Source organism: Homo sapiens, chromosome X (assembly GCF_000001405.40).
Source record: "Homo sapiens chromosome X, GRCh38.p14 Primary Assembly".
Taxonomy (NCBI): domain Eukaryota; kingdom Metazoa; phylum Chordata; class Mammalia; order Primates; family Hominidae; genus Homo; species Homo sapiens.
The window spans coordinates 72,545,419-72,572,935 of NC_000023.11; the positions used below are offsets into that span (position 1 = coordinate 72,545,419).

General features: G+C 41.8%; 1 protein-coding gene across 21 annotated transcripts in view, besides 5 other annotated features; it reads right to left on the minus strand.

Annotated features, from left to right (window-relative positions):
• Positions 1 to 27,425, minus strand: part of HDAC8 (histone deacetylase 8) — a 243,328-nt gene extending 215,903 nt beyond the window's left edge. For 12 of the 21 annotated variants that reach the window (NR_199812.1, NR_199813.1, NR_199814.1 and 9 more), the window contains exons 1-4: positions 27,233 to 27,425; positions 26,639 to 26,691; positions 23,336 to 23,466; positions 22,471 to 22,612 (exon numbers count right to left, since the gene is read on the minus strand). Coding sequence is in view for 16 of the 21 variants with exons in the window: in NM_001441234.1 (NP_001428163.1) it covers positions 22,471 to 22,612; positions 23,336 to 23,466; positions 26,639 to 26,691; positions 27,233 to 27,343 (437 nt within the window). In the remaining 5 variants the exon portion in view is untranslated. Of the gene's footprint in view, positions 1 to 22,163; positions 22,613 to 23,335; positions 23,467 to 26,638; positions 26,692 to 27,232 lie in introns of those variants that run through there. The other 9 variants (XM_047442255.1, XM_017029644.3, NM_001166418.2 and 6 more) reach the window with 5 other exon arrangements.
• Positions 8,408 to 9,217: an enhancer, noted in NCBI's record as "H3K27ac hESC enhancer chrX:71773676-71774485 (GRCh37/hg19 assembly coordinates)". NCBI's record gives its function as "activates a minimal SCP1, AML or CMV promoter by ChIP-STARR-seq in primed H9 embryonic stem cells {active_cell/tissue: H9 hESC(primed)}" and the evidence as "EXISTENCE:reporter gene assay evidence [ECO:0000049][PMID:30033119]".
• Positions 8,408 to 10,026: a biological region, named in NCBI's record as "MED14-independent group 3 enhancer GRCh37_chrX:71773892-71775091".
• Positions 8,624 to 9,823: an enhancer, noted in NCBI's record as "MED14-independent group 3 enhancer chrX:71773892-71775091 (GRCh37/hg19 assembly coordinates)". NCBI's record gives its function as "activates an origin of replication core promoter dependent on BRD2, BRD4, P300/CBP and CDK7 cofactors, and independent of MED14, by STARR-seq in HCT116 cells {active_cell/tissue: HCT116}" and the evidence as "EXISTENCE:reporter gene assay evidence [ECO:0000049][PMID:35650434]".
• Positions 9,218 to 10,026: an enhancer, noted in NCBI's record as "NANOG-H3K27ac hESC enhancer chrX:71774486-71775294 (GRCh37/hg19 assembly coordinates)". NCBI's record gives its function as "activates a minimal SCP1, AML or CMV promoter by ChIP-STARR-seq in naive and primed H9 embryonic stem cells {active_cell/tissue: H9 hESC(naive and primed)}" and the evidence as "EXISTENCE:reporter gene assay evidence [ECO:0000049][PMID:30033119]".
• Positions 27,388 to 27,517: an enhancer, noted in NCBI's record as "active region_29762". NCBI's record gives its function as "activates an Ori minimal core promoter by ATAC-STARR-seq in GM12878 lymphoblastoid cells {active_cell/tissue: GM12878}" and the evidence as "EXISTENCE:reporter gene assay evidence [ECO:0000049][PMID:35858748]".

Below are 27,517 nucleotides of genomic sequence, written 5' to 3' on the forward strand. Positions count from 1 at the left end.
TCACATTTAATCCTTATAACCCTATAAGGTACATACTATTGTTATCTCCATTTTATAAATGAGGACACTGAGGCACAGAGAGGTAGTAATTGATGGAGCTGGGATTCCCTGTGCCACACTTCACCTGTGACATACCATCTTCCCCATTTCTATAGGAATTTTAGGAACACCCCTCACCCACTAGAGGCTAGTGGTAGGGATGCCATAGGGACAAAGCATGTCCTAGCTCGTTCCTATGCTGGTGGCTGGCCAGGCAGTTTTCTGATGAAGGGGCTAGTGCCTTATGGGTTGGACATGTATTGACAGAGAATGATCTGGGCTACTATGGTAAAGGCCTGTTGGTTTTGTCTAGTGATGTGCCTGTTCTACAGGTGCCAGCACAGAACAGTTGTGAATAGCAAGTACAGAGACATGCCCCCCACAGGTAAGGAGGGGTTTCCCTTGGTGTTGAGGCAATGTTGCTGATACTGAATCCAGATCTCCATTTTCATGCAGTTATTTATTTGTTTATAAAGGCTGGAGCTGGGGTGGTGTGGATAGAGGAGGAGGTTTGGCTACTTGGTTAACAAGTTACACTGTGCACAGAGCCCTTTGGGGAACTGGAACTGTAGTGTAATTCACTACCATTTACTCTCTCTGAGGCAAAAAGGGTGAAGCTCTTGGTATACAGCTCTAGTAGCTTTGATTCTAACTGCTGGGTGGGTGGTAACTAAGAGCTGGAGGTCTAGTTCTACATTCTTCCTGTAGAGCTTGCCAAGACAAACAGCATAGAGCTTTATGGCTCTACCATTTACTGCCCCCAGGTGGAAGTCCCAGAAACCAATAGCATTCCATGGGAGAGTAATTTCTCCCTCTCTTAGCAGGGAAGCAGGACAGAGGGGACCTAACTGGCATAGATCCTATGTTGCTGGACAGAAGGCTGAAATGTTATGGGACAAGAGGGTAAATTACAGAATTGTTGGGGGAAGAAGGATGTGGTCATGTTAGAGATGTGGGTCTTAAATGGATTATCAGTAAGATGAAGGAAGATATTGGGAACTGAGATGCAGAACCAAACAGAATAAGACACTAGAAAAGGCTGGTGGAAGGGTGAAGACTAGCCAGTCAAAGTAACCAAGCAAGATGTGATCTAGACACATTCTGGAGGTTAGGAGTCACCGTGCTGGGTGAAATGAATAATGTCATGGATAGGGTTAGTTCCATGTAAGGGAATTTACATGGAACAAGATGACTTCCTAAGACACTGATGACAGAAGGCAGAATCAAAGGATTCAAAGAGGTCTGTGAACAAGTGACACAAGGCAAGAGGACAACATAGAGAAGCAGAGGCCACTGGACAGGCACTTCATCAGTGTGCTAGCAGGCAACCCCCACACTCCTTTACCACACTCATTCTTGACTTCTTTCGCTCTGGCTTCACAAGAGATGCTTCTCTAAAAGACATTCACCTCACTCTCTCCTGCCACCTCTAAGACTTTGCTCCATCTCTTATCTTTTTCATATTTCCAATATTTCCCCTTCAGCTCCTAAATGTTCTTAATCTAAATGTTCCTAATCTCTTAAAACAATACCAACAAACCACCCCTCAACCCTTACTTTCCCTTGACCACACCCCTCCTCTTTTCTTTATCATTCAAACCTCTGGACAGACACAGTAGCTTTCCTTTCCTATTTCGTTAGTTCCTACTCACTCCTCAATGGTTTGAGGTATACTTCCATCACTTTCTACAAAGTTCTCTGACCAAGGTCATTAATGACCATCTTAATTGTCAAATACGATTCACACTTCAGTACCTATCTAGATTACCTCTTTGTGGTACATTAAACTGTTGAGAACTCTTTTCTTCCTTAAGCTCTTCTGCCCCCTTGGGATTCCATAACCCCTTTCTATTTTGATTATATGGCTAGACTTGATTGTTGCTTTTCAGCTGAATCAACTGGAGCCTCTTCTGCTTGCCCATTACAAGTTGGTGCCTCTTGGGGTTCTAGGCTCTACTTTCATTTTCTCCTTATTATCTACCTTTTCCCTAAGTAATCCCATCCATTTTCATGGTTTTCACCACCACTTGATATACTGGCAACACATCTATCTCCAGTTCCAGCTTCTACTTCCATTTCCAAATCTGGATATCAAATTTCCCTATATATTACCTCTGATGCACACCACCACCTATTCCTATTTATTGAGGTAGTGTAGTAAGTGTAGCACAGTGGTTAAGTAGCCAGCTTGAAGAATCAGATTGCCTGGGTTTGAACCCAACTTGGTCACTTACTAAACTTCAGCAAGTCATTTAACCTCTCTGTACTTCCATGTATAAAACAGAGATAATAATTTGTACCTACTGCTTAGTGTTCCTCTGAGGATAGATGAGAAAAATGCACATAAGGTAGCGCCTACTATATAGCTCAACATAGGTTAGCTATTGTTATTCCCATTTTGCTTGGGACTCCACTTAGGCAAGCCAGAAACCTGAGTTATCTTCCTCATCTTTCATCTCCTCCCACATCTAGTTAATCATCAATACTTGCTTTTATCTCTTAAAGCTGTCTCAAATCAGCCTTCACCATTCCCCGTCCCCTAATCTCATTGCTTTGCCTAAGTTCAGGTCTTCATTTTTCAGTGGGACTGTGATACCTTAAGCGGTCTCCCTACGTTCAGCCTATGCCTCTTGCAATCCATCTGCTATAACTGCAATCAGAGTTATTTTCCTACAAACATCTAACCGTGTTACTTCCTAACACAATTTTTCAGTGGCTCCCCATTTCCTATAGCAGAGTTTCTTAAAATTCATATAACAGAATTATTCCTAGAGTTTGAAAGTGCAGGTTCCTATGTACTACCCCAAACCTACCAAATCAAGATGTCTGAGAGAGACCCAGAAATCTACATTTTAAAATTCGGTGATTCCAATATACATGAAGTGCTTCATGACCCATTTCCTGTGTTTCTACCTCTTCTTCTGCCATTATCTACTTTATACCTTAACCCTCCAGCAATATTGAGCTATGTGTAGTTTCTCAAATCTGCCAAACTATATTACATTGCTCTGCTTTTTATTTTACATTATTTTATTTCTGCCTTTTTATTTTATATTGCCCTACTTTTAAAAATGTTGTTCTGGCCTTCTGGAATACCCCTACCCTGCCACCTCCTTGTCTCACTGGCACATCCCTTTTCATCCTTTGAAGACATCTTCATCATCACCTCCTTACTGATAAATCTTACGTCATCTCTATAGCACTGTTTCTCAACCATTTCTCTTCTCTCTCTCTCTCTCTCTCTCTGAGACCAGATCTTGCTCTGTCACCCAGGCTGGAGTGCAGTGGTGCAACCTCAAACTCCTGGGCTCAAGTGATCCTCCCACCTCAGCCTCCTGAGTAGCTAGGACTACAGGCATGCACCACCATGCCCAGCTAATTTTCTAATTCTTTGTAGAGATGGAGTCTCACTATGTTGCCCAGGCTGTCAAACATTTTTTCATTATCATGTCCCACCTCTACTGAAAGAGCCTTTTTAGATACCTTTTCCTAATTGACCCCCCCATAACATTTTAATACTGCAGATATACTGTACATCTGTTTATGTACTGTGGTACATTGGAGGACTGTAAACCATCATAAAATATAAGTTTTTTTCACCTCCTTCTACCAAGAATAAATTTTTGTTCCCTTGGGGCCAATATCACTTCTGTTGCAGATGCATGCGCTACAGTATCAGACATTGCTATTCAAACTGGTCTTCCTGAGGTTCACCCTTGGTTTCTATGATGTCTTTTCTGATTCTCTTTCTTTTTGACCATTCCTTTTCAGGATTCCTTTGGAGGCTTTTCTTTTTCCACCCCGTTTTAAACACTGGAGTCCCATAAGTCTCAGTATTTGTTTGTTCCCCCCCCGCCTTATTATTCTATATATGCTTCCAAGGTGATTTTATTGATTTCCTTAGTTTTAATACAATCTATAATGCTGTTGACTTTCAAATCTCTATCTTCAGTGAAGGTGATTCTCCTGAGCTCCAGTCTCTTGCTGTTTCAAGTATGTTCCACAGACTGGCAGCATATATTACCTGGGAGCTTGTTAGAAATGCAGATTCCTAGGTTCCATCTCAGACCTACTGAATTAGAATCCGCATTTAAACAAGAATCCCAGAGGTTTCATATACACATCAAATGTAGAGAAGTCCTGGTCTGGGCCCTATTATCAGCTCTCTAATAGACATCTTCAATTAGATGTTCCATAAGCACATGAATCTTCACCCCATAGGCTTCTTAGTTAATGGCAACATAATTTAATCATCTATACAAGAAATCTAGACCACCCCTTCCTTATCATTTATATCTAATTGGTCTTCTTTACTATCTATTGTATCTACTAAATGGCTCTTGAATTTATTCTCTCCTCTATGCTCATCACCGCTGCTTTCATCTCTTCTTGGAAATATTATCAAAATAATGTCCTCACAGATTTCTCTATGGACAGTCACTGTCCCTCTGGTTTAACGGCCAACTATTGCTAGAGTCATATTCCTAAAATGCATGTCTGACAACGTTACTTCTTCCTGGCTAAAAATTCTTTCAGTGACTTCTCACTGTCTAAAGCTGAAGTTCTTAATCTAGGACCCATACATGGGCTTCAGGAAATCCTTATACTTTCTGAAACTACAAGGAGAAATTTGTGTATGTAGATTTTCTAGGGGATGTATATGCATTCTTTAGGTCAGTGGTTCTAAACCTTTTTTGGTCGTGGAAAATTCAGTGGGGTCCACAACCAAAGAAGGTTAAGAACCACTGACTTAAAGGATCAAGTCCAAGCTGTTTAGCTTGGCATTCAAGGACTCTTTATACCTCTCCAAACTTATCTCTGGCCATTTATCTATAGGAACCTATGGTTCCAGCTTTAATGACAAACTTGGAAGTCCCCCCCACCCCACCAACTTTCACACCTCTAAGCATCTGCACATGCTGTTCCTGGAATAATCCTGAGGTTACACACATAACTAGTAAGTGGTGGAGCCTGAATTTACATCCAGGTCTTACTTTAATGTTCACAGTCATTCTACTCTACAGTGGCTTGACATTTCACACTGTGACCTAGTACATACAAACACACACACAAACACATACATACATGCACACACACACACACACACCCCAGAACAAGTTTCACGAAACCCACCTTGATATGAAAGAAAGCTCATTGTAGCCCACTAAATTGATATAATGTCCATCAACAAGTTGCAGTCCCTGGTTTGAAAAACACTGCACTAGACCTTTGCTGAAATAGGCAGATCTTATTACTGAGAATTTATTATCTTAGCCCCAGCAGTACCCAGGCTTTGAGGTTTTCTAAGGATACAAAAGCTGTCGTAACCCTACCCCTTCCACTATTACTCTAAAATTCTGGTCCCCCTTTTAAATAAATTCACTAATGGCCTTTTGTGCAGTACCAACTGCCCTCAAGTGTTTGCTAATGAACTGACCACTTATAGCAGTCCCAGCTCAAAGAACCCACTCCTTTAAATACCAGAATCTAACCCCATCCATCTGTTCAGTCATTTTGTCTCTCATGGATCGTCAGGTATATCAGTTAGCAATTCAATGCAAATCTGTCAGAAAGTAAAATTACAAATCTTATAAAAAGATGCTGGAAATCTTGAAGTCAGCGCACACACACACACACACACACACACACACACACAAAACTGATGAGGATCTGGTAGAACAGTCCACAATTGAAGAGGAGAAAAATAAATATGAATAATGATTTTAAAAGTGGTTCAAAACAGAATGATTTGAATACCAAGTGATTAAAGAAAAGCCTTTGGGAACACTAATGAAGTCCTTGAATATTTTGGCAAAATCAGCCCTCTTAAAGATCATGCTACAAATATCTCACAGGAAGTGAAACACACCATCTTGAAATATCATGCAATTTTGTTTGAAAAATTAGGCACAAAACAAAAGCCATGAATCTTTTATATATTTTTTGTTTTAAGAATTAGTGCATTGTTATATCTAGCACTCAATTTTATTAAATGAGACAAAATATGTATATTTTAATAGCTTTTAGTTATTCAAGCTAGCATCCTAATCAAACCCTACCCCTTCCACTATTACTCTAAAATTTTGGTCCCCCTTTTAAATAAATTCACTAATGGCCTTTTGTGCAGTACCAACTGCCTTCAAGTAATAAGAACCTCCTGTATAACTCTTTGTTTCCTCAGTGCCAGGCATACAGAAGGAGTTTAATAGATGTTCGTTAATTGATTGATTGTGAAAGCCTCCCCTGCCTCCAGTCTCAGTTCCCTCCAATCCAACCAGTACATTTTCAGCCCTCCCTAAAATTCTTTAGTAAATTCCCATCAAGCACAGAAAAAAGTCCAATTCCTCAGCATAGCTTATAAAACCTTTATAATCTGACCTTGTCCTATTTGCCCTCAGACTCTGGCCACATTTCACTACTTGTGGTTCTACAAATGTTCTGTATTTTCTTGGTGCCAGAATTTCATTATTTCCTCTGCTTGGAATTTTCTATCCCCACCAATGGGAAAGCAAATTCCTATTCCTTCTTCTGGACACCACACTACCTTGTATATAATGTTAACACTCTGACCACACTGCATTATAACTACTTCCTGCCTTGTTTCCAGCAGTTTTTATTATAAAAAGTTTTATTTATAAAAGTAATACAATCACGTTAGAGAAAATATAGGAAACAGAAAAGATGTGAGTATATTATATAAGTGTGTACATATAAAAATATAGGGCTGGATGCTGTGGCTCACGCCTATAATCCTAGCACTCTGGGAAGCTGAGGTGGGAGGATCACCTGAGGCCAGGAGTTCGAGACCAGCCTAGGCAACATAAGGAGACCCCATCTCTACAAAAAAAAAAAATTTAAATTTAGCCAGGTGGCCCGGGCACAGTGGCTCACGCCTGTAATCCCAGCACCTTGGGAGGCCGAGGCAGGTAGGTCACCTGAGGTCAGGAGTTCGAGACCAGCCTGGCCAACATGGCAAAACCCCATCTCTACTAAAAGTAAAAAAATTAGCCAGGCGTGGTGGCATGTGCCTGTAGTCCCAGCCACTCGGGAGGCTGAGGCGGCAGGAGAATCACTTGAACCCAGGAAGTGGAGGTTGCAGTGAGCTGAGATTGCACCATTACACTCCAGCCTGGGCAACAAGAATGAAACTCCGTTTCAAAAAAAAAAAAAAATTTAGCTAGGTGTGGTGGTGTGTGGCTGTGGTCCCAGCTACTTGGCTGAGGTGAGAGGATCACTTGAGCCCAGAAGGCTGCGGCTGCAGTAAACCATGATTGCACAACTGCACTCCAGCCTAGGTGACAGAGTGAAACTCTTGTCTTAGAAAAAAAAAAAAATATATATATGTATGTGTATATATACGTATATATACATATATATATATGTGTATCACATACCCAATATCACCATCCTCACAAAGCCACTGTTAACATTGTGTTTTATTTCCCTCTAAGATATTTTCATATGCATATATTCTTTACAGGACTCTAAGTGAATATATGAGGTTTAGCCAACTGCCCTTTAAAAACAAAATCAACATTATAAGATAAGCATTTTTTCTATTTATGCAGTTGTACTAGCCACCCTATTTATTTATTTATTTATTTTGAGATGGCATCTCCCTCTGTCGCCCAGGCTGGAGTGCAGTGGCATGATCTAGGCTCACTGCAGCCTCCTCCTCCCAGGTTCAAGTGATTCTCCTGCCTCAACTTCCTGGGTAGCTGGGATTACAGGCTCATGCCACCATGCCCAGCTAATGTTTTGTATTTTTAGTAGAGACGGGGTTTCACCATGTTGGCCAGGACAGTCTCGATCTCTTGACCTTGTGATCCGCCTGCCTCGGTCTCCCAAAGTGCTGGGATTACAGGTGTGAGCCACCGCGCCTGGCCAATAGCCACCATTTTTAATGGTTTTATAATATCCCTTCAAGTGGATATGTTGCAGTATACTACCTAACCCACTGTTGTTGAATATTTGGGTCTCCCTCCTGCCCCTTTTTTGGCTACTATAAGTAACAGAGAAAGTACCATCTTCACAAACACATCTTTACCATATTTTGGGTCGGTTTACTTCCTTAGAATAGATTACCAAGAGTAATAGATGTTATCAAAGATCTTCCTTTGTTTGGCTCATATTGGTAGGAGGGAAAAATATATATACAATCCCTTGATATCTGTGGGTGATTGGTTCCAGGACCCCTGCAGATACCAAAATCCATGCACACTCAAATCCCACAGTTGGCCCCATGGAACCCGCAGATGATAAAAGTCAGCCCTCTGTATATGTGGGTTTTGCATTCGGTAAATACTGTATTTTGTATCTGTATTTGGTTGCAGATGCAGAACCTGCTGATACGGAGGGCTGACTGTATTTATAGAAAAAAATCTGCATATAAATTAATCCCCACAGTTCAAACCTGTGTTGTTCAAGGGCTAACTGCTAATATTTCAATTCCTCTATTTATTAGTGATACTAAATATTTTTTCATGCTTGTTTAATGTTTCCTCTTTTGTGAATTGTCTATTTGTGTTTTTTGTTCATTTATCTGAGTATTAGTGTTTAAAAAAATCAATTAGAACAGTTAGAGATTTTAACCCTTTGTTACATTTGCTGTAATTTTGGGGATTCTCTTTTTATCTTGGTAAAATTTTAGCTACAAAATAATATCATATCATTACAGAAATTTTGAAAACTAGAGAAAAATATGTTTAAAAAATCATCAATAATTCTGCCTACTAATATGGTGGCTAGGAGGCAGGACTAGCTTACAGCTCCTGCTCGGATGGACAGAGCAGCATGTGGAGACTCACATCATGAACTTTTGCTCCTAAAACTACCCCAGGAACATACCAGGGAAGCCAAGAAAATCCACAGACCCTTTGAAGGAACTGGATCACTGCTGCAGGCTCCCTGAGATGCCAAACAACTGTAAGTTGGCTTGCTTTCTCAACAGGGAGGCTCATGGTCTGGGGCAAGTTCTCAGCCCTGGTCACTGGCTGCCTGGAAATAGACTCAGTGCTGTTTGGAGCGGGTAGGGCGGGGGGAGCGGGGAGGGCGGGGAGGGCGGGGAGCGCGGGGAGCGAGGCACAGTGGGAGTGAGACCGGCCTCTAGGACTGCAGGCTGCATGGGAGCGGGGTGAAGCCTGTGACTGCCGGCTTTCCCTCACTTTCCTGGAGACCTGTATGACTCAGCAGAGGCAGCCATAATCCCCCTGGGAATGTAACTCTACTGGACTGGGAACCACACCCCCGTCCCCCACAGCAGGCCCCACCCAAGGAGACTCTGAGCTCAGACACACACCTACCCCTGCCTCCACCTGGTGGTCTTTCTCTACCTGCCCCAATAGACAAAGACAAAGGTCATAATCTCTTGGGAGTTCTATGGCCCTGCCCGCTGCCTGAGAAACCTGAATACTTAAACAGGTGTCCCCAGGGCAAGTTTGCATCCTCCCTATAGGACCACAGCTGATGCGTTCTTGAAGGCGCCACCTCCTGGCTGGAGGCCAACCAACACAAAACCGGTGCACTTAAGAAAAACACAACTAAGGACCCTCCACTTCACTCCCCTGCTACCTCCACTGGAGCAACTGCAAGACCTGAAGACAGATCACATCACAGCACTCTTTACAGACACTCCCCAGTACCAGGCCAGAGCTGGGTAGCTCTGCTGGGTGGCTAGACTCAGAAGAGCAAAAACAATCGCTACAGTTTAGCTCTTAGGGAGCCCCATTCCTAGGGGAAGGAGGAGAACAACACATCAAAGGAGCACCCCGTGGGACAAAAGAGTCTGAACAGCAGCGCTTGAATCCCAGATCTTCCCTCAGATACAGTCTACCCAAATGAGAAGGAACCAGAAACAGAATTCTGGTAATATGACAAAACGAGGTTATTTAACATCCCCAAAAGATCATACCAGCTCACCAGCAATGGATCCAAACCAAGACAAAAATCCCTGAATTGCCAGAAAAAGAATTCAGAAGGTCGATTATTAAGCTAATCAAGGAGCCACCAGAGAAAGGTGAAGTCCAACTTAAAGAAATCAAAAACATGATAAAGGATATGAAAGGAAAATTATTCGGTGAAATGGAGAGCATAAATAAAAAACAATCACAACTTCTGGAAATTAAGGACACACTTAGAGAAATGCAAAATGCACTGGAAAGTCTCAGCAATATAATTGAACAAACAGAAGAAAGAACTTCAGAGCTCAAAGACAAGGCTTTTGAATTAACCCAATCTGTCAAACACAAAGAGAAAAGAATTTTAACAAATGAACAAAGCCTCCAAGAAGTTTGGGACTATGTTAAATGTCCAAACCTAAGAATAATTTGTGTTTCCAACGAAGAAGATAAATCTAAAAGTTTGGAAAACATATTTGAAGGGATAATTAAGGAAAACTTCCCCAGCCTTGCTAGAGAGCTCGACATCCAAATACAAGAAGCTCAAAGAATACCTGGGAAATTCATTGCAAAATGATCATCACCTAGGCACATAGTCATCAGTTACCTAAAGTCAAGACGACGGAAAGAATCTTAAGAGCTGTGAGGCAAAAGCATGAGGTAACCTATAAAGGAAAACCTATCAGATTAACAGATTTCTCAGCAGAAACCTTACAAGCTGGAAGGGATTGGGGTCCTATTTTTAGCCTCCTTAAACAAAACAATTATCAACCAAGAATTTTGTATCCACTGGAAACTAAGCTTCATAAATGAAGGAAAGATATGGTCTTTTCCAGGCAAAAAAAATGCTGAGAGAATTTGCCACTACAAAGCCAGCACTACAAGAATTGCTAAAAATAAGCATAAATCTTGAAACAAATCCTCAAAATAAACTGAAATAGAAGCTCCTTAAAGCATAAATCTCACAGGACCTATATAACAACAATACAATTTATAAAAACCAAGATATTCAGGCAACAACTAGCATGATGAATAGAATAGTACCTCAATCTCAATACTAACATTGAACGTAGCCTAAATGCTCCACTTAAAAGATACAGAATGGCAGAATGGATAAGAATTCACCAACCGAGTTTCTGCTATCTTCAGGAGACTCACCTAACACATAAGGACTTACATAAACTGAAGGTAAAGGGGCAGAAAAAGATATTCCATGCAAATGGACACCAAAAGCAAGCAGGAGTAGCTATTCTTATATCAGACAAAACAAACTTTAAAGCAACAGCAGTTAGAAAAGACAAAGAGGGACATTATATAATGATAAAAGGACTAGTCCAACAGGAAAATATCACAATTCTAAATATATATGCACCTAACACTGGAGCTCCCAACTTTATAAAACAATTACTATTAGACCTAAGAAATGAGATAGACAGCAACACAATTATAGTGAGGGACTGTAATACTCCACTGACAGCACTAGACAGGTTATCCAGACAGGAAGTCAACAAAGAAACAATGGACTTAAACTATACTCTCGAACAAATGGACTTAACAGAGATTTATAGAACATTCTACCCAGGCTGGGCGCGGTGGCTCACGCCTGTAATCCCAGCGCTTTGGGAGGCCGAGACGGGTGGATCATGAGGTCAGGAGATCCAGACCATCCTGGCTAACATGGTAAAACCCCGTCTCTACTAAAAATACAAAAAATTAGCCCGGCATGGTGGTGGGAGCCTGTAGGGAGGCTGAGGAAGGAGAATGGCGTGAACCCGGGAGGCGGAGCTTGCAGTGAGCTGAGACTGTGCCACTGCACTCCAGCCTGGGCGACAGAGGGAGACTCCACCTCAAACAAACAAACAAAAAAACATTCTACCCAACAACTGCAGAATATACATTCTATTCATCAGCACATGGAACATTCTCCAAGACAGACCATATGATAGGCCACAAAACAAGTCTCACTTAAGAAAATCTTTAACAAGCCTTGATTTTAAAAATCAAAATTATATCAAGTACTCTCTCAGATCACAGTGGAATAAAATTAGAAATAAACTCCAAAAGGCACCCTCAAAACCATGCAAATACATGGCAATTAAATAACCTGCTTCTGAATGAACATTGGGTCAACAATGAAATCAAGACAAAAGTTAAAAAATTCTTTGAACAGAACGATAATAGTGACACAACCTATCAAAACCTCTAGGATACAGCAAAAGCAGTGCTAAGGGGAAATGCCCCTTAGCAAATGCATTGAATACCTACATTAAAAAGTCTGAAAGAGCACAAATAGACAATCTAAGGGCACACCTCATGAAACTGGAGAAACAAGAACAATCCAAGCCCAAACCCAGCAGAAGAAAAGAAATAACCAAGATCAGAGCAGAACTAAATGAAACTGAAACAAACAAACAAAAAAATACAAAAGATAAATGAAGCAAAACGCTGGTTCTTTTAAAATAAATAAAATTGATAGACAATTGGCAAGATGAACCAAGGAAAGAAGAGAGAAGATCCAAATAAGCTCAAGTAGAAATGAAATGGGAGATATTACAACTGATACCACAGAAATACCAAAGATTATTCAATGCTACTAAGAACACTTACGTGCACAAACTAGAAAACCTAAAGGAGATGGATAAATTCCTGGAAATATACAACCCTCCTACATTAAACCAGGAACATAAAGCATCTCTGAACAGACCAGTAACAAGCAGCGAGATTGAAATGGTAACAACAACAACAAAAAATGCCAACAAAAAAGTGCACAGGACCAGACGAATTCACAGTTGAACTCTATCAGACATTCAAAGAAGAATTGATACCAATCTTATTGACACTATTCCAAAAGTTAGAGGAAGAGGGAATCCTCCCTAAATCATTCTATGAAGCCAATATCACCCTAATACCAAAACTAGGGAAGGACATAACAAAAAAAGAAAACTACAGACCAAAGTCCCTGATGAAGATGCAAAAATCTTCAACAAGATAATAGTGAACCAAATCCAACAGGATATCAAAAGATAATTCACCATGATCAACTGGGTTCGATATTAGAGATGCAGGGATAGTTTAACATACACAAGTCAATAAGTGTGATATACCACATAAACAGAATTAAAAACAAAAATCGCATGATCATCTCAATAGATGCAGAAAAAGCATTTGACAAAATTCAGCATCGCTTTATGATTAAAACCCCGAGCAAAATTGGCATAGGAGGGACGTACCTTAAGGTAATAAAAGGTAATAATCTACAACAAACCCACGGCCAACATTATACTGAACGGGCAAAAGTTGAAAGCATTCCCCCCAAGAACTGGAAGAAGAAAAGGATGCCCACTTTCACCACTTCTATTCAACATAGTACTGGAAGTCCTAGTCAGAGCAATCAGACAAGAGAAAGAAATAAAGGGCACCCAAATCGGTAAAGAGGAAGTCAAACTGTTGCTCTTTGTTGATGATATGATCATATACCTAGAAAACCCTGAAGACTCATCCAAATAGCTCCTAGAACTGGTAAATGAATTCAGCAAAGTTTTAGGATACAAAATTAATATACATAAATCAATAGCTGTGCTATGCACCACAGCAACAAAGCTGATAATCAAATCAAGAACTCAACCCCTTTCACAATAGCTGCAGAAAAAATAAAATACTTAAGAATATACCTAGCTTCTCCCCCTCCCCCTCCCCCTCCCCCCCTCCCCCTCCCCACGGTCTCCCTCTCCCTCTCCCTCTCTCTCCACGGTCTCCCTCTGATGCCGAGCCGAAGCTGGACTGTACTGCCACCATCTCGGCTCACTGCAACCTCCCTGCCTGATTCTCCTGCCTCAGCCTGCCGAGTGCCTGGGATTGCAGGCGTGCTGCCACGCCTGACTGGTTTTCGTACTTTTTTGGTGGAGACGGGGTTTCGCTGTGTTGGCCAGGCTGGTCTCCAGCTCCTAACCGCGAGTGATCTGCCAGCCTCGGCCTCCCGAGGTGCCGGGATTGCAGATGGAGTCTCACTCACTCAGTGCTCAATGTTGCCCAGGCTGGAGTGCAGTGGCGTGATCTCTGCTCGCTACAACCTCCACCTCCCAGCCGCCTGCCTTGGCCTCCCAAAGTGCCGAGATTGCAGCCTCTGCCCGGCCGCCACCCCGTCTGGGAAGTGAGGAGCGTCTCTGCCTGGCCGCCCATCGTCTGGGATGTGAGGAGCCCCTCTGCCCCGCCGCCCAGTCTGGGAAGTGAGGAGTGCCTCTTCCCGGCCGCCATCCCATCTAGGAAGTGAGGAGCGTCTCTGCCCGGCCGCCCATCGTCTGAGATGTGGGGAGCACCTCTGCCCCGCCACCCCGTCTGGGATGTGAGGAGCGCCTCTGCCCAGCCGGGACCCCATCTGGGAGGTGAGGAGCATCTCTGCCCGGCCGCCCCGTCTGAGAAGTGAAGAGCCCCTCCGCCCAGCAGCCGCCCGTCTGTGAAGTGAGGAGCCCCTCCGCCCAGCAGCTGCCCCGTCTGGGAAGTGAGGAGCGTCTCCGCCTGGCAGCCACCCCGTCCGGGAGGGAGGTGGAGGGCAGCCCCCACCCCGCCAGCCGCCCCGTCCAGGAGGGAGGTGGAGGGCAGCCCCCGCCCGGCCGCTGCCCCGTCTGGGAGGTGGGGGGCGCCTCTGCCCGGCCGCCCCGTCTGGGAAGTGAGGAGCCCCTCTGCCTGGCCACCACCCCGTCTGGGAGGTGTACCCAACAGCTCATTGAGAACGGGCCATGATGACGATGGCGGTTTTGTCGACTAGAAAAGGGGGAAATGTGGGGAAAAGATAGAGAAATCAGATTGTTGCTGTGTCCGTGTAGAGGGAAGTAGACGTAGGAGACTCCATTTTGTTCTGTACTAAGAAAAATTCTTCTGCCTTGGGATGCTGTTAATCTATAACCTTACCCCCAACCCCGTGCTCTCTGAAACATGTGCTGTGTCCACTCAGGGTTAAATGGATTAAGGGCGTTGCAAGATGTGCTTTGTTAAACAGATGCTTGAAGGCAGCATGCTCATTAAGAGTCATCACCACTCCCTAATCTCAAGTACCCAGGGACACAAACACTGTGGAAGGCCGCAGGGTCCTCTGCCTAGGAAAACCAGAGACCCTTGTTCACTTGTTTATCTGCTGACCTTCCCTCCACTATTGTCCTATGACCCTGCCAAATCCCCCTCTCCGAGAAACACCAAAGAATGATCAATAAATACTAAAAAAAAAAAAAAAAAAAAAAAAAGAAATGGTAACAATGGACACCTTTACCTTGTTTCCAATCTTAGTGGGAAAGTATTCAGTATTTCGCCATTATGAATGATGTTATCTATAGGTTCTTTGTAGATGGCCCTCATCAATTTGAGGAAGTTCCCTTCTATTCCTAGTTTGCTGACTATATTTATCATGGCCCGAAGGTGAACTTTTTCAAATGCCTTTTCTGTGTCTATTGGGACAACCATATGGTTTGTTTTTTAATACACTTATGTGGTGAATTGCATTTATTGATTTTTGAATGTTACAGTATACTTATATTCCTGGTATAAATTCTACTTTTTCATGATGTATTATCTTTTAAAAATATGATTAAAATATGATTGAATGTAGTTTACTAATAAAAATAAAAAAAAAAGAATATACCTAATCAAGGACATGAAAGACTTTTACAAGGAAAACTACAAAACACTGCTGAAAGAAATCAGAGACAACACAAATGAAAACACATTCCATGCTCATGGATGGGTAGAATCAATATTGTGAAAATGACCATACTGCCGAAAGCAATCTACAAATTCAGTGCAATTCCCATCAAAATACCACCATCATTCTTCACAGAAATAGAAAAGACAATCCTAAAATTTATATGGAACCAAAAGCTAAGCCAAAACTAAGACTAAGCAAAAAGAACAAATCTGGAGGCATCACATTACCCAACTACAAACTATAAGGCCATAGTCACCAAAACAGCACGATACTGGTATAAAAATAGCACATAGACCAATGGAACAGAATAGAGAAGCTGGAAATAAAGCCAAATGCTTATAGCCAACTCATCTTTGACAAAGCAAACAAAAACATAAAGTGGGGAAAGGACACCCTATTCAACAAATGGTGCTGGGATAATTGGCAAGCCACATGTAGAAGAATGTAACTGGATCCCCATCTCTCACCTTATCAAAAAATCAACTCGAGATGGATCAAAGACTTAAATCTAAGACCTGAAACTATAAAAATTCTAGAAGATAACATTGGAAAAACCCTTCTAGACATTGGCTTAGGCAAAGAATTCATGACCAAAGACCCAAAAACAAATACAACAAAAATAAAGATAAATAGATGAAACATAATTAAGCTAAAATGCTTCTGCACAGCAAAAGAAATAATCAGCAGAGTTAACAACCCACAGAGTGGGAGAAAATCTTCACAATCTATACATCTGACAGAGGACCAATATCCAGAATTACAAAGAACTCAAACAAATCAGCAAGAAAAAAGCAAATAATCCCACTAAAAAGTGAGCTAAGGACATGAATAGACAATTCTCAAAAGAAGATATACAAATGGCCAACAAACATATGAAAAAATGCTCAACATCACTAGCGATCAGGAAAATGCAAATCAAAACCACAATGTGATACTATCTCACTCCTGCAAGAATGGCCATAATAAAAAAATCAAAAAATAATAGATGTTGTTATGGATGTGGTGAAAAGGGAACACTTTTACACTGCTGGTGGGAATGTAAACTAGTACAATCACTATGGAAAACAGTGTGGAGACTCCTTAAAGAACTAAAAGTAGATCTACCATTTGATTTAGCAATCCCACTACTAGGTATCCACCCAGAAAAAAAGAAGTCATTATACGAAAAAGATACTTGCACACGCATGTTTATAGCAGCACAATTTGCAAATGCAAAAATATGGAACCAGCCCAAATGCCCATCAATCAACAAGTGGATAAAGAAAATGTTTTATATATACACCATGGAATACTACTCAGCCATAAAAAGGAATGAGATAATGGCATTCATAGCAACATGGATGGAATTGGAGACTATTATTCTAAGTGAAGTAACTCAGGAATGGAAAACCAAACGTCGTATGTTCTCATTCATGTGGAAGATGAGCTATAAGGACACAAAGGCATAAGAACAACACATTAGACTTTGGGGACTCGGGGGAAAGGATGAGGGGTGATAAGGGATAAAAGACTACACAATGGGTACAGTGTACACTGCTTGGGTGATGGGTGCACCAAAAGCTCAGAAATCACTACTAAATAACTTACTCATGTAACCAAACGCCACCTGTTCTCCAAAAGCCTATTGAAATAAAAAAATATATATATAAAGTTGTAAAAAGAAAATTAAATTAAAAAATAAAAAATAATATTTGGGAGAAAAAATAATTCTGCCACTATATTATTGTTATTCTAAGATAACCACTGTTATCATTCCCACCAGTCTTTTTTTCTTCATATGTTTTACAAAGCTGTGATTACAATGTGCATACATTTTTAAGACCTATTTTTTTTCTTTTTTTTTTTTTTTCTGAGACACAGTCTCACTCTGTCACCCAGGCTGGTGTGCAGTGGCACGATCTCGGCTCTCCGCAACCTCTGCCTCCTGGGTTCAAGCGATTCTCCTGCCTCAGCCTCCCGAGTAGCTGGGATTACAGGTGCCCGCCACCATACCCGGCTAATTTTTGTATTTTTAGTAGAGGCAAGGTTTCACCATGTTGGCCAGGCTGGTCTTGAACTCCTGACCTCAGGTGATCCACCTGCCTCGGCCTCCTAAAGTGCTTGGATTACAGGCATGAGCCACTGCACCCAGCCAAGACCTGCTTTTTTATTGACACACATAAAGTATTTATCTGAAGTTCCCTATAATCCTTATAATCATTATTTAAAATAATAGCATAAGGCTGGGCATGGTGGCACACAACTGTAATCCCAGCACTTTGGGAGGGCAAAGTGGGCTGATTGCTTGAGCCCAGGAGTTAGAGACCAGCCTGGACAACATGGCAAGACCCCATCTCTACAAAAAAAGCCAGGTGTGGTGGTATGTGCCTGTAGTCCCAGCTACTCAGGAGGCTGATGTGGGAGGATTGCTTGACCTTTGGGGAGCAGAGGTTGCAGTGAGCCAAGACCGTGCAACTGCACTCCAGCCTGGGCGACAGAGCAAGACCCTGTCTCATAAGTAAATAATAAATAAATAAATAAAAACAAAAAGCTTTTGCACAGAAGAAAAACAGTAAAACAATAGGATAATATTCTAAGGAGTAGATTCACCATTCCTTTATTGCTAGGCATTCATGTTATTTTAGTTTTTAAAATTTTATAAATAACACTGATAAATACCTTCATGAAAATAGTTTGTTTCCCATATTTAAAAAAAAAATTAGGCCACATTCCCAGAAGTAAGATTACCTGATCAAAGGGCATTAATACACATTGGCTACCAAAATGCTTTCTTCCAAACCACACTCACTAGGAAACTGAGTACCATCTTTTTCAATTCTGTTAAATTTAGGCTTAAAAAGTGGTGGCTCATGCCTGTAATCCCAGCACCTTGGGAGGCCGAGGCAGGCAGATCATGAGGTCAGGAGTTCGAGACCAGCCTGACCAACACGGTGAAACCCCGTCTCTACTAAAAATAAAAAAATTAGCCGGGCATGGTGGCACGCGCCTGTAATCCCAGCTACTCAAGAGGCTGAGGCAGGAGAATCGCTTGAACCCGGGAGGCAGAGGATGCAGTGAGCCGAGATCACACCATTGCACTCCAGCCTGGATGACAGAGCCGAGATTCTGTCTCAAAAAAAAGAGGCTTACCTAATGGTTTTAATTTACATTTCTTTGATTAGTAGTGATGAACATTTTCCAATGTTTTCCAGTTGTCCTTAAACTCCTTTGTAAATTGTCTATTCGTGTTCTTTGTGCAGATTTCTTCTTATACATTATATTGTAGGAGTGGGTTAGATAATACAAGCCTATTACACTTTGTCATATTTATGATACATAGGCTTTTTCAGTCTGTGTTTAGATTTTGAAAATAGCCAAAAAACCTTTTAAAAGTTATTTTGGTTTTAAAATTTTGTACAGTCGGGTTTGATCTTTTCCTTTGTGATTTTAAAAAATTACTTTCTAAGCTTAGAAAATTCTTCCCCTTTAGAAGCTTGATAAATATCCATTCACTCTAGTGTTTAAAATTTGCTTTTTTAAATATTTAACTTTTCAATCTAGCTGTCACTCATTTTAGTTTATTACAGTAGATGAGGGTATAATGGTACAAGCTGTCACAATACCATTCATTTACTCAACAGACCTTTCAACTCCCATTCACTTGCAATGCATCCTTTGTAATAGATTAAATTCTATATAATTGGTCTCTTTGTTGGGGTGGGGGGTGTACTATAACCTATCTGTCTAATTTTTGTACCAGTGTTTTCATTACTGTAGTTTTGGATGCTTAATATCTAATAGTATTAGTCCTTCGTTACTCTTCTTTTGTAGAATATTCTTTGAAAATCATCCTTTTTTAGCTTTCAAATGCAATTATTTGCTGTCTTACTCCTAAGATATAAATTTCTTGCAGGTAGAATTGGTTTATTTCCTTAGAATAGATTGCCAAGAATATTGTTACTGGCCCAACTGGTATGAACATTTTTTCCCATTCTTAACACTTCCAAGGTTTTCAAAAGGGGTTGTATTAATTTCACTGTAATCCTTCTACCACCTGGATATTTTGAAATAAAGAATCTTTTTCAAACTTGGTAGGGGAAACAATATATCTTGCTTCAATTTCTATATCTCTGCTTACTGGTGATGATAAACATACATTTGACATGTAGTAGGTGCCTAATCAATGCTTGTTCAATGAATAAATGGCATGTATGAATCTGTACATATATTTGCAGATGGGAAGTTTAAGCAAATATTGTGATTATAATAGGTAAATGTTGGCTAGATGTAAGTTTGTGGCCTAAATGCCTGTAGTCCATCTACAGAGAGGTTCTAGTTATGCCAAGAACACCTTGGAATTCAGACCTAAACTGGGGCAATCTCTAGAGACTCTGTAATTTATATTTATCACAGGCATGTCCGTTTCCATGCAGGATCAGCTGAAAGATGTCTACAACAGTTAAGGCGATATATGTGGGTATCCCCATGTCTGTGTGCAGCCCAGAAGCAGTCGTGATTGGGTCAAGACAGAGTGTACTTCCTTTGGCAGCAAAACAGTAATAAGAAGCAGAGTACTCCACTGGAAAATGACCCAGGCCCTAGTAGGCCTTCTGCAGTTAATTTAATTGCATAATAAACTGGATGTCATTCATAGAAGCAAGCCTTTTCTATGAAGCCACACTACTTTTCTTCTCAACTTGCCAAGCCCAAGAGGACCTAGAAGTCTTTCGTTCAGAGAAGCTTAGCTTTCTCCTTTCACTCTGCACCTGGGAGGGGAGAGGGTCATTTTTTTTCTCCTAGCAGTCATTGTCTTTATTTTGAATTTAAAAAAAAGGCAGGCGGTGTGCAGTGGCTGTCATGTGTAATGCCAGCACTTTGGGAGGCCAAGGTGGGAGGATCACTTGAGGCCAGGAATTTGAGACCAGCCTGGGCAACATAGCAAGACCTCATCTCTACAAAAAATACAAAAATTATCCAAGCATGGTGGCACGTGCCTGTAGTCCTAGCTACCTAGAAGGCTGAGGTGGGCAGATCCCTTGAACCCAGGAGTTCGAGACTGCAGTGAGCTATGATTGCACCACTGCACTCCAGCCTTGGTGACAGAGAGAGACTCTGTCTCGAAAAAAACAAAACAAGAAAGAAAGAAAGAGGCCAGGTGTGGTGGCACATACCTGTAATGCCAGCACCTTGGGAGGCTGAGGATGGAGGATCCCTTGAGCCCAGGAGTTCAAGATCAGCCTGGGCAACATAGGGAGACATTGTCTTTATTAAAAAACAAAAAACAAAAAACAAACAAACAAACAAACAAAGCAAGAAAAAAGCAAGCAGGCAAGCAAGCAAAAGCTAACAAAAGGCAGCTTGTCTCTGTTTTTAAAACCATGTAAGACTCATTACTAAAACATTGGTTTCCTTTGCTGTGTTGCCCAACTAGTAAATTCTAGCAGTAAACTTTTTCAAGGACTTCCTTGGCCACAAAATCTGTCAATTTGATGGAAAAAATTCTGTTATTATCTTAACCTGCATATGCTGAAGTTGTGCTGTGTTTTATTCTGAAAAACAAAGTGTTGTTTTCTCTTGACCTAAGAGCACCTAAGGTCACGGTTGATTGCATGAACAATTGATTCCTGAGTGAGGCATTGGCAGTTACTACCACAGTGGCTTCATTTCTCTCAGACAGAGGATCGATAAATTCAGAGTTTAAAAAATCCTTCTTCTTCAATGTGGATTAAGTACTACAGAAATATCAAACAAAGTCCCAAATGCTGAAGGAGGGCCCAGCAATCCTTCTCAGACAGACTACTGCAGTTTGACATGTTAACATAAAACTCTAGAAGGTGGCCAGGCGCGGTGGCTCACCCCTGTAATCCCAGCACTTTGGGAGGCCAAGGCAGGCAGATCACCTGAGGTCAGGAGTTTAAGACCAGCCTGGCCAACGTGGTGAAACCCTGTCTCTACAAAAATACAAAAATTAGCTGGGCATGATGGCGGGTGCCTGTAATTCCAGCTACTCAGGAGGCTGAGGCAGGAGAATCACTTGAACTGGGAAGGAGGAGGTTGCAGTAAGCTGAGATCGCGCAACTGCACTCTAGCCTGAACGACAGGGCGAGACTCTGTCTCAAAAACAAACAAACAAATAAACAAACAAACACTCCAAAGGACTTCTCCTCTAACTCCAAGAAGCACCTAGGAAGAGCCTTTTCACAAGCCCTTTGTCTTTGAGAGACATCTACCTCTGGGTTGCTACTTTCATTAGAGGAGCATGAGCCCTCTTCTTGATTCTTCAGCCTTTTGTTTTAAACCTATTAGCGTCAATTTTCCACCTTTTTAAAAATCTGTTTGCCACTTCTTTTAAGAACTAGCTCTAAAATTCACTTCTGCCAAGACTTCCATGATTAATTTCTTTCTACTGATAAGTCTCTTCAGCTCATACATATATTCCATTGGTACCATAACTAATGTTGTTCTCTATTCTAATTTTGTTAATGTTTCTAGACTGTAAGTCCCTCGAAGACAGGGGAATTTCTAGAAAGCCGAAAAGGAATTTAGAGACTGTCTAGTTGTATCCTTTGTTCATTTTATTGATGAAGAAACTGAGGCCTAGGGAGGGTAATCAGTCCAAGTCAGTTAGCCAAGTTAGAAAAACTAGGTGTAGAGCCCAGGTGTCCTGACTTTGAGCAGTGTGCTTTCCACTATATTAGGTAATCTTTTTTCTATTTCACTTGGATTTCTTCAGAATGCCTTGTAAAGTGCCACATACACACACGTCTCTCTGTAAATGTCAATACAATAAGCATAAGAGTTTACATAACTGAGAAACTGACTCAAGGAAAGAGTCAGAAAACAGAAAGGTCATTTTCTTACTTCTTTGCATGATGCCACCCTCCAGACCAGTTAATTGCTACTTTGCACATTCCGTCAATCAGGCATTGGGCAGCTGTGATCGTAGCCCCTCCTATAGCTGCTGCATAGTCAAATATCCCTTCAGTGGCTGGGCAGTCATAACCTTAGGGCAAAAATCAGAAGAGCTGGTTAAAAGGTGAACTGGAAAAAGAGGAGGAATAGGTTGAGGTGTGACAACAACCTAACCTACTAAAAAGCCACTGTGCTAATATCAGCTCCAACTGAGACAGAAACAACTCCAATGTTGGGGATATAATATTTTAAAAGGTTAGAGCTAGAAAGGATAAACCCTCCTGATGAACTAGTCACAGGCTACAGATAGAGAAACCAAGCCTGAGAGGTGATGTGTCTTGTCAGTGGTCACACAGAGCCAGGCTTGGGACCCAGCTCTGTTGACCCCCCAGTTCAATGTTCCTCTGCTAAACCATGCTGTTTTTCTAGACTATCCTGCAGGTCACTTACAGTTTTAAAAAATGCAGCTGTTTAATGAGGGGTGAGGTACAAAAACTTAGCCAGAACATAAATCTGTACTCCAGTTAAAATATAAGGTCACAGGACAGCTAAATCAGCATATACACAGCCAGACCAGATCTGAGCACTGCCAGTAGGGCATAAGCAACTGAAAGGTTTTCTTTCATCTAACCCTTCATGTGGTTTTGCTCAACTCATATGGTTTGCTTGTTTAGTGAGTTATATGTGGCTAAACCAAAAGATTAAGATTGACAGTTAACACATGATTTCTTAACGAAAAATATTAAAAAAATCATACAAGTTATAAAAAAAATTAGTCTGTCCATCTCCCATCACTGCCTGGTAATGACTTTACCTAGCCCATATTCTATGGAGTCCGGATGATCATCATCGCCCTCTTGGCTGACCTTCTGGAGATGCTGCAGATAAGCATCAGTGTGGAAGGTGGCCATCTCCTCCATGGAGGCCACTTTAGGCTTAACTATCCTAATAATAACAGAGAGAACAAAGAGAGGTCAGTGAGTCAGACCCAGCGTATGCCAGAAGCTAGAAACAGAAGCCAGCAGTCTGAGAAGAAAATACGTCTCAACTTCTGGTTCCAATAGGCTGGAGTAATAAACATATTCTGTTCTTCCACTGCACTGTGCGGTCTTCACTGCCTCACATCTACAGTAGTGACTCTATTAATAAGGGGCAAGAAGATAGATTTTCCCTTGAGTTTATAGGTAAGTAAACAAAAGTAATTATATTCAAGTTAAACAAATAATCAGGTATCAGACAGACTTTACCCTGTGAGTTACAACTTTCAGGACAAACTAGTAGGCAGGGATATTTTCATTTGAACCAGTTGCGAATTGGGCTATCTAATCCTTTCAGCTATATCTTTATTTTAATAGGCAGCTATGTTATCATGCATTTTGAATTTGGAGTCAGATTTGGAGTCAGAGAATTGGGTTCCTGTCCTAATTCTGTACTTACTAGCTCTATAACCTCAGATAAGTCAACTGTTCTGTAGTTCAGTTTTCTTATTTGTAAAATGGGGAACTTTATGGGACTTATGTGAAGATAAAAGGATAACACATACAAAAATGCTTGGTGGATAACTATCATTCTATTAACAGATAAAAAATGGGCAACCCAAAATGTAATGTTTCTAGACTTGGACCCTCCTATCTGCCTCTGAGAGCGAGGCGAGAAGGGGCAAAATGGTTGGAACCGGACTTCACTCAGAACCTCTCAACCTACTCCTCACGAAAAATGACAAATAGAAGCGAGTGAGGGAATAAAGGGAGCTAACCCAATAAGAGGCCTTACCACATCTAACCTCTAGCTGCCTATTCCCCATTTCCTCTTCTTGACCCCACAGCTGCCACTACTGTTCTCTAGCCCTTGCCACTTAAAGGGTGGTCCATAGACCAGGAGCATCAGCATTCCCTGGGTGCTTGTTAGAAATGCAGAACTTCAGACTTGCCTCAGACCTGAGTCAGAATTTGTATTTTAACATGATGATTTTTAAACAAGATGACACATTTTAAGGTGATTCATATACACATTCAAGTTGAAGGAGCCCTGACCTGGGCCACAGGGAGGCAGCAGTGGTTTTAAATGTCTGCTGAATGGGAACACAGCCATGAGTTTACGATGAATGAATACGACTATACAGGCTACTACTATCACCAAGGTAGCTGGAAGAAATCCTGTGGTTTGGCCTCAAAAGTGAAATACATAGCCAAGACCCAAGAATTCTTGCTTCTTCTTAAAGAAGACAAATCTATACCACCAGAGGTGAAAAATCTACCCATTAAAATAAAAATTTTGTAATATCTCGGACCGTATTTCCCAGTCCTAAAAGCTCCCTCTTCTAGTACCCTTCCATTTATTTTGGTAAATGTTAAAAAACACTTACTGAAAACCTCCCTATTTAACAGTAAGCAAACTGGACAGTTTTGCTTTGCTTTGATATCTTGTTTGTCATAAAATAATTTTTTGAAATGTTAAATAACTTTAATGGAAGGCATATAGTTACTATGTTAACCAAACCATATGGGTTAAAAAATGGCTTAAAATGGGTGTGGTGACACGTGCCTGTAGTCCCAGCTACTCGGGAGGCTGAGGCAGGAGAATCGCTTGAACCTGGGAGGCGGAGGTTGCAATGAGCCGAGATCGCGCCACTGCACTCCAGCCTGCGCGACAAAGCAAGACTCCATCAAAAAAAAAAAAAAAAGGCTTAAAAATTCCCTTTAAAAGGTACAAAATGATTTTGTTAATAATAAGGATAAAATCTGAAAGCCTATTATTACACTACCTTCTGGGAGATAAATGAAGCATAGCACACTAGTTGGTATGAGCACTCACCTATTTGGCCAGAAATTGTCATAAGTAATCCTATATGTGGCAGGGTTATATTTGCTCTTATAACGACATCAAATACAGAAATGGCAATAAACAGCAAGTTCATGTTTTTGGAAGAAACAGTTAGCTCTCTCTTGAGTTCTGGCGCAGTCTTGGCAGTTTTCTTTGGTCTTTTTTGTTTGTTTGTTTTTTGAGACGGAGTCTCACTCTGTCACCCAGGCTGGGGTGCAGTGGCGCAATCTCGGCTCACTGCAAGCTCCGCCTCTCGGGTTCACACCATTCTCCTGCCTCAGCCTCCCGAGTAGCTGGGACTACAGGCGCCTGCCACCACGCCCGGCTAATTTTTTGTATTTTTAGTAGAGACGGGGTTTCACCGTGTTAGCCAGGATGGTCTTGATCTCCTGAGCTCATGATCCGCCTGCCTCAGCCTCCCAAAGTACTAGGATTACAGGCGTGAGCCACCACGCCCGGCCTTCTTTGGTCTTGATCTGTCTCCAGCCTCACCCATTAAAGTTTGGTGCTGGTGGTGGGTTGTCTAAAAGTCTTAGGTTGAACTCACACCCTCAAATCTGGCTTAGAATGAAACGAAATCAAAAGAAAAATGGAACACCTCCTAGCTGAACACCTTTTTGTATGAGACAGGTTTTAATACCCAAATGTACTCAAAATCTCCACAATGCACTGCACCTACCCCTGGGATACTTAACCAAGCAATCGAGCTGTATTTCTAATGAACCTTAACTGCTTCCTGCACTTTCCACTCCCCTGTCCCAAGTTTTCTTTTCTTTTTCTTTCTTTCTTTCTTTTTTTTTTTTTTTTTTTTTTTTTTTTTTGAGACGGAGTTTCACTCTTGTTGCCCAGGCTGCAGTGCAATGGTGCAATCTCGGCTCACTGCAACCTTCACCTCCGGGGTTCAAGCGATTCTCCTGCCTCAGCCTCCCGAGTAGCTGGGATTACAGGCGCCCGCTACCACGTCCGGCTAATTTTTTTGTATTTTTAGTAGAGACGGGGTTTTGCCATGTTGGGCAGGCTGGTCTCAAATTACTGACCTCAGGCGATCCACCCACCTAGGCCTCCCAAAGTGCTGGGATTACAGGCGTGAGCCATGCTCTCGGCCCCCCAAGTTTTCTTAATTCTTCAAGAGCTTTCTTGGGATTACAGGCAGATTACAAACACTGTGAATACTTTCACAGAAAGCTAAAATAATTTTTTCAAAAGACCATTCTTTTCCTTGCCCCACTGTGAAGCAGGATATTAAGGCTACGAACACCTAGCTTCAGGGCTATGTTCAAGAAAGACAACTTACCTCATCTGCTTATGCAGTGCATATGCTTCAATCAAAGAATGCACCATACTGGCCTAAAAACATCAGCGTAAAAAAAAAAAAAGAAAAGCAGAAATAGTCTCTTTAAAGTTTAATTCAGCAAAATCCCCGTCAATCTCACCATCCTGAACAAAGGAACGGATTAATTTTGTTTCAACTGGCTTCCCTTCTGTTAACAGTTACAATACACTTTAGACAATACAGATACAAAGTATCAAAATCACTAAGGTGAAAGCTACCGGGCCTTAGGCAGGTGATGGAACACCTTCCCCCTGCAGCTTGTTTTCCCACGACTTCAGCGGTCCCCTATGAGTGGAAACTGCGTCCTCTCCCCTCCTCCGTACCCCCTCCCCCACTCCTACCTGTCCATTGGACGTCCCGAAGAGACATGCTGCGCTCTCAGAAACGATATGAGAACACTTCCTTCTGATACAGCTTTAGGTATCTGATACAGCTACTCGAAATTTCTGAAGATTTCCCCCAGCCCAGTGTCCTCTCCGCTTCCTAACGCTCTTTCGTCCACCGCCCCCACCCCCACCCCCAAAGCCCATGGTCTTTCATCCCGACTTCCCTTACCCGTTTGGGGATCTTGGCCAGGGAGTCACACATACTGACATACTCGGGACTATAGATATAAACCGGGACCAGCGACTGCCCACTGTCCGCCGGTTCCTCCGGCTCCTCCATCTTCCGCTTAAAACCGTTCCGCAGCCACCTTCCAGATCTGGCTTTTTTCGGACTCGGCCAGGGTTCCAGTTCCTGCTCCTCTGATCGGCCGCAGCGGTGCTCCCTGGTCAACATTCCCTCCTATTCTTGAGATCGCCGGAGACACTATCACCGCTCCCCATCCTATTGAAGGAA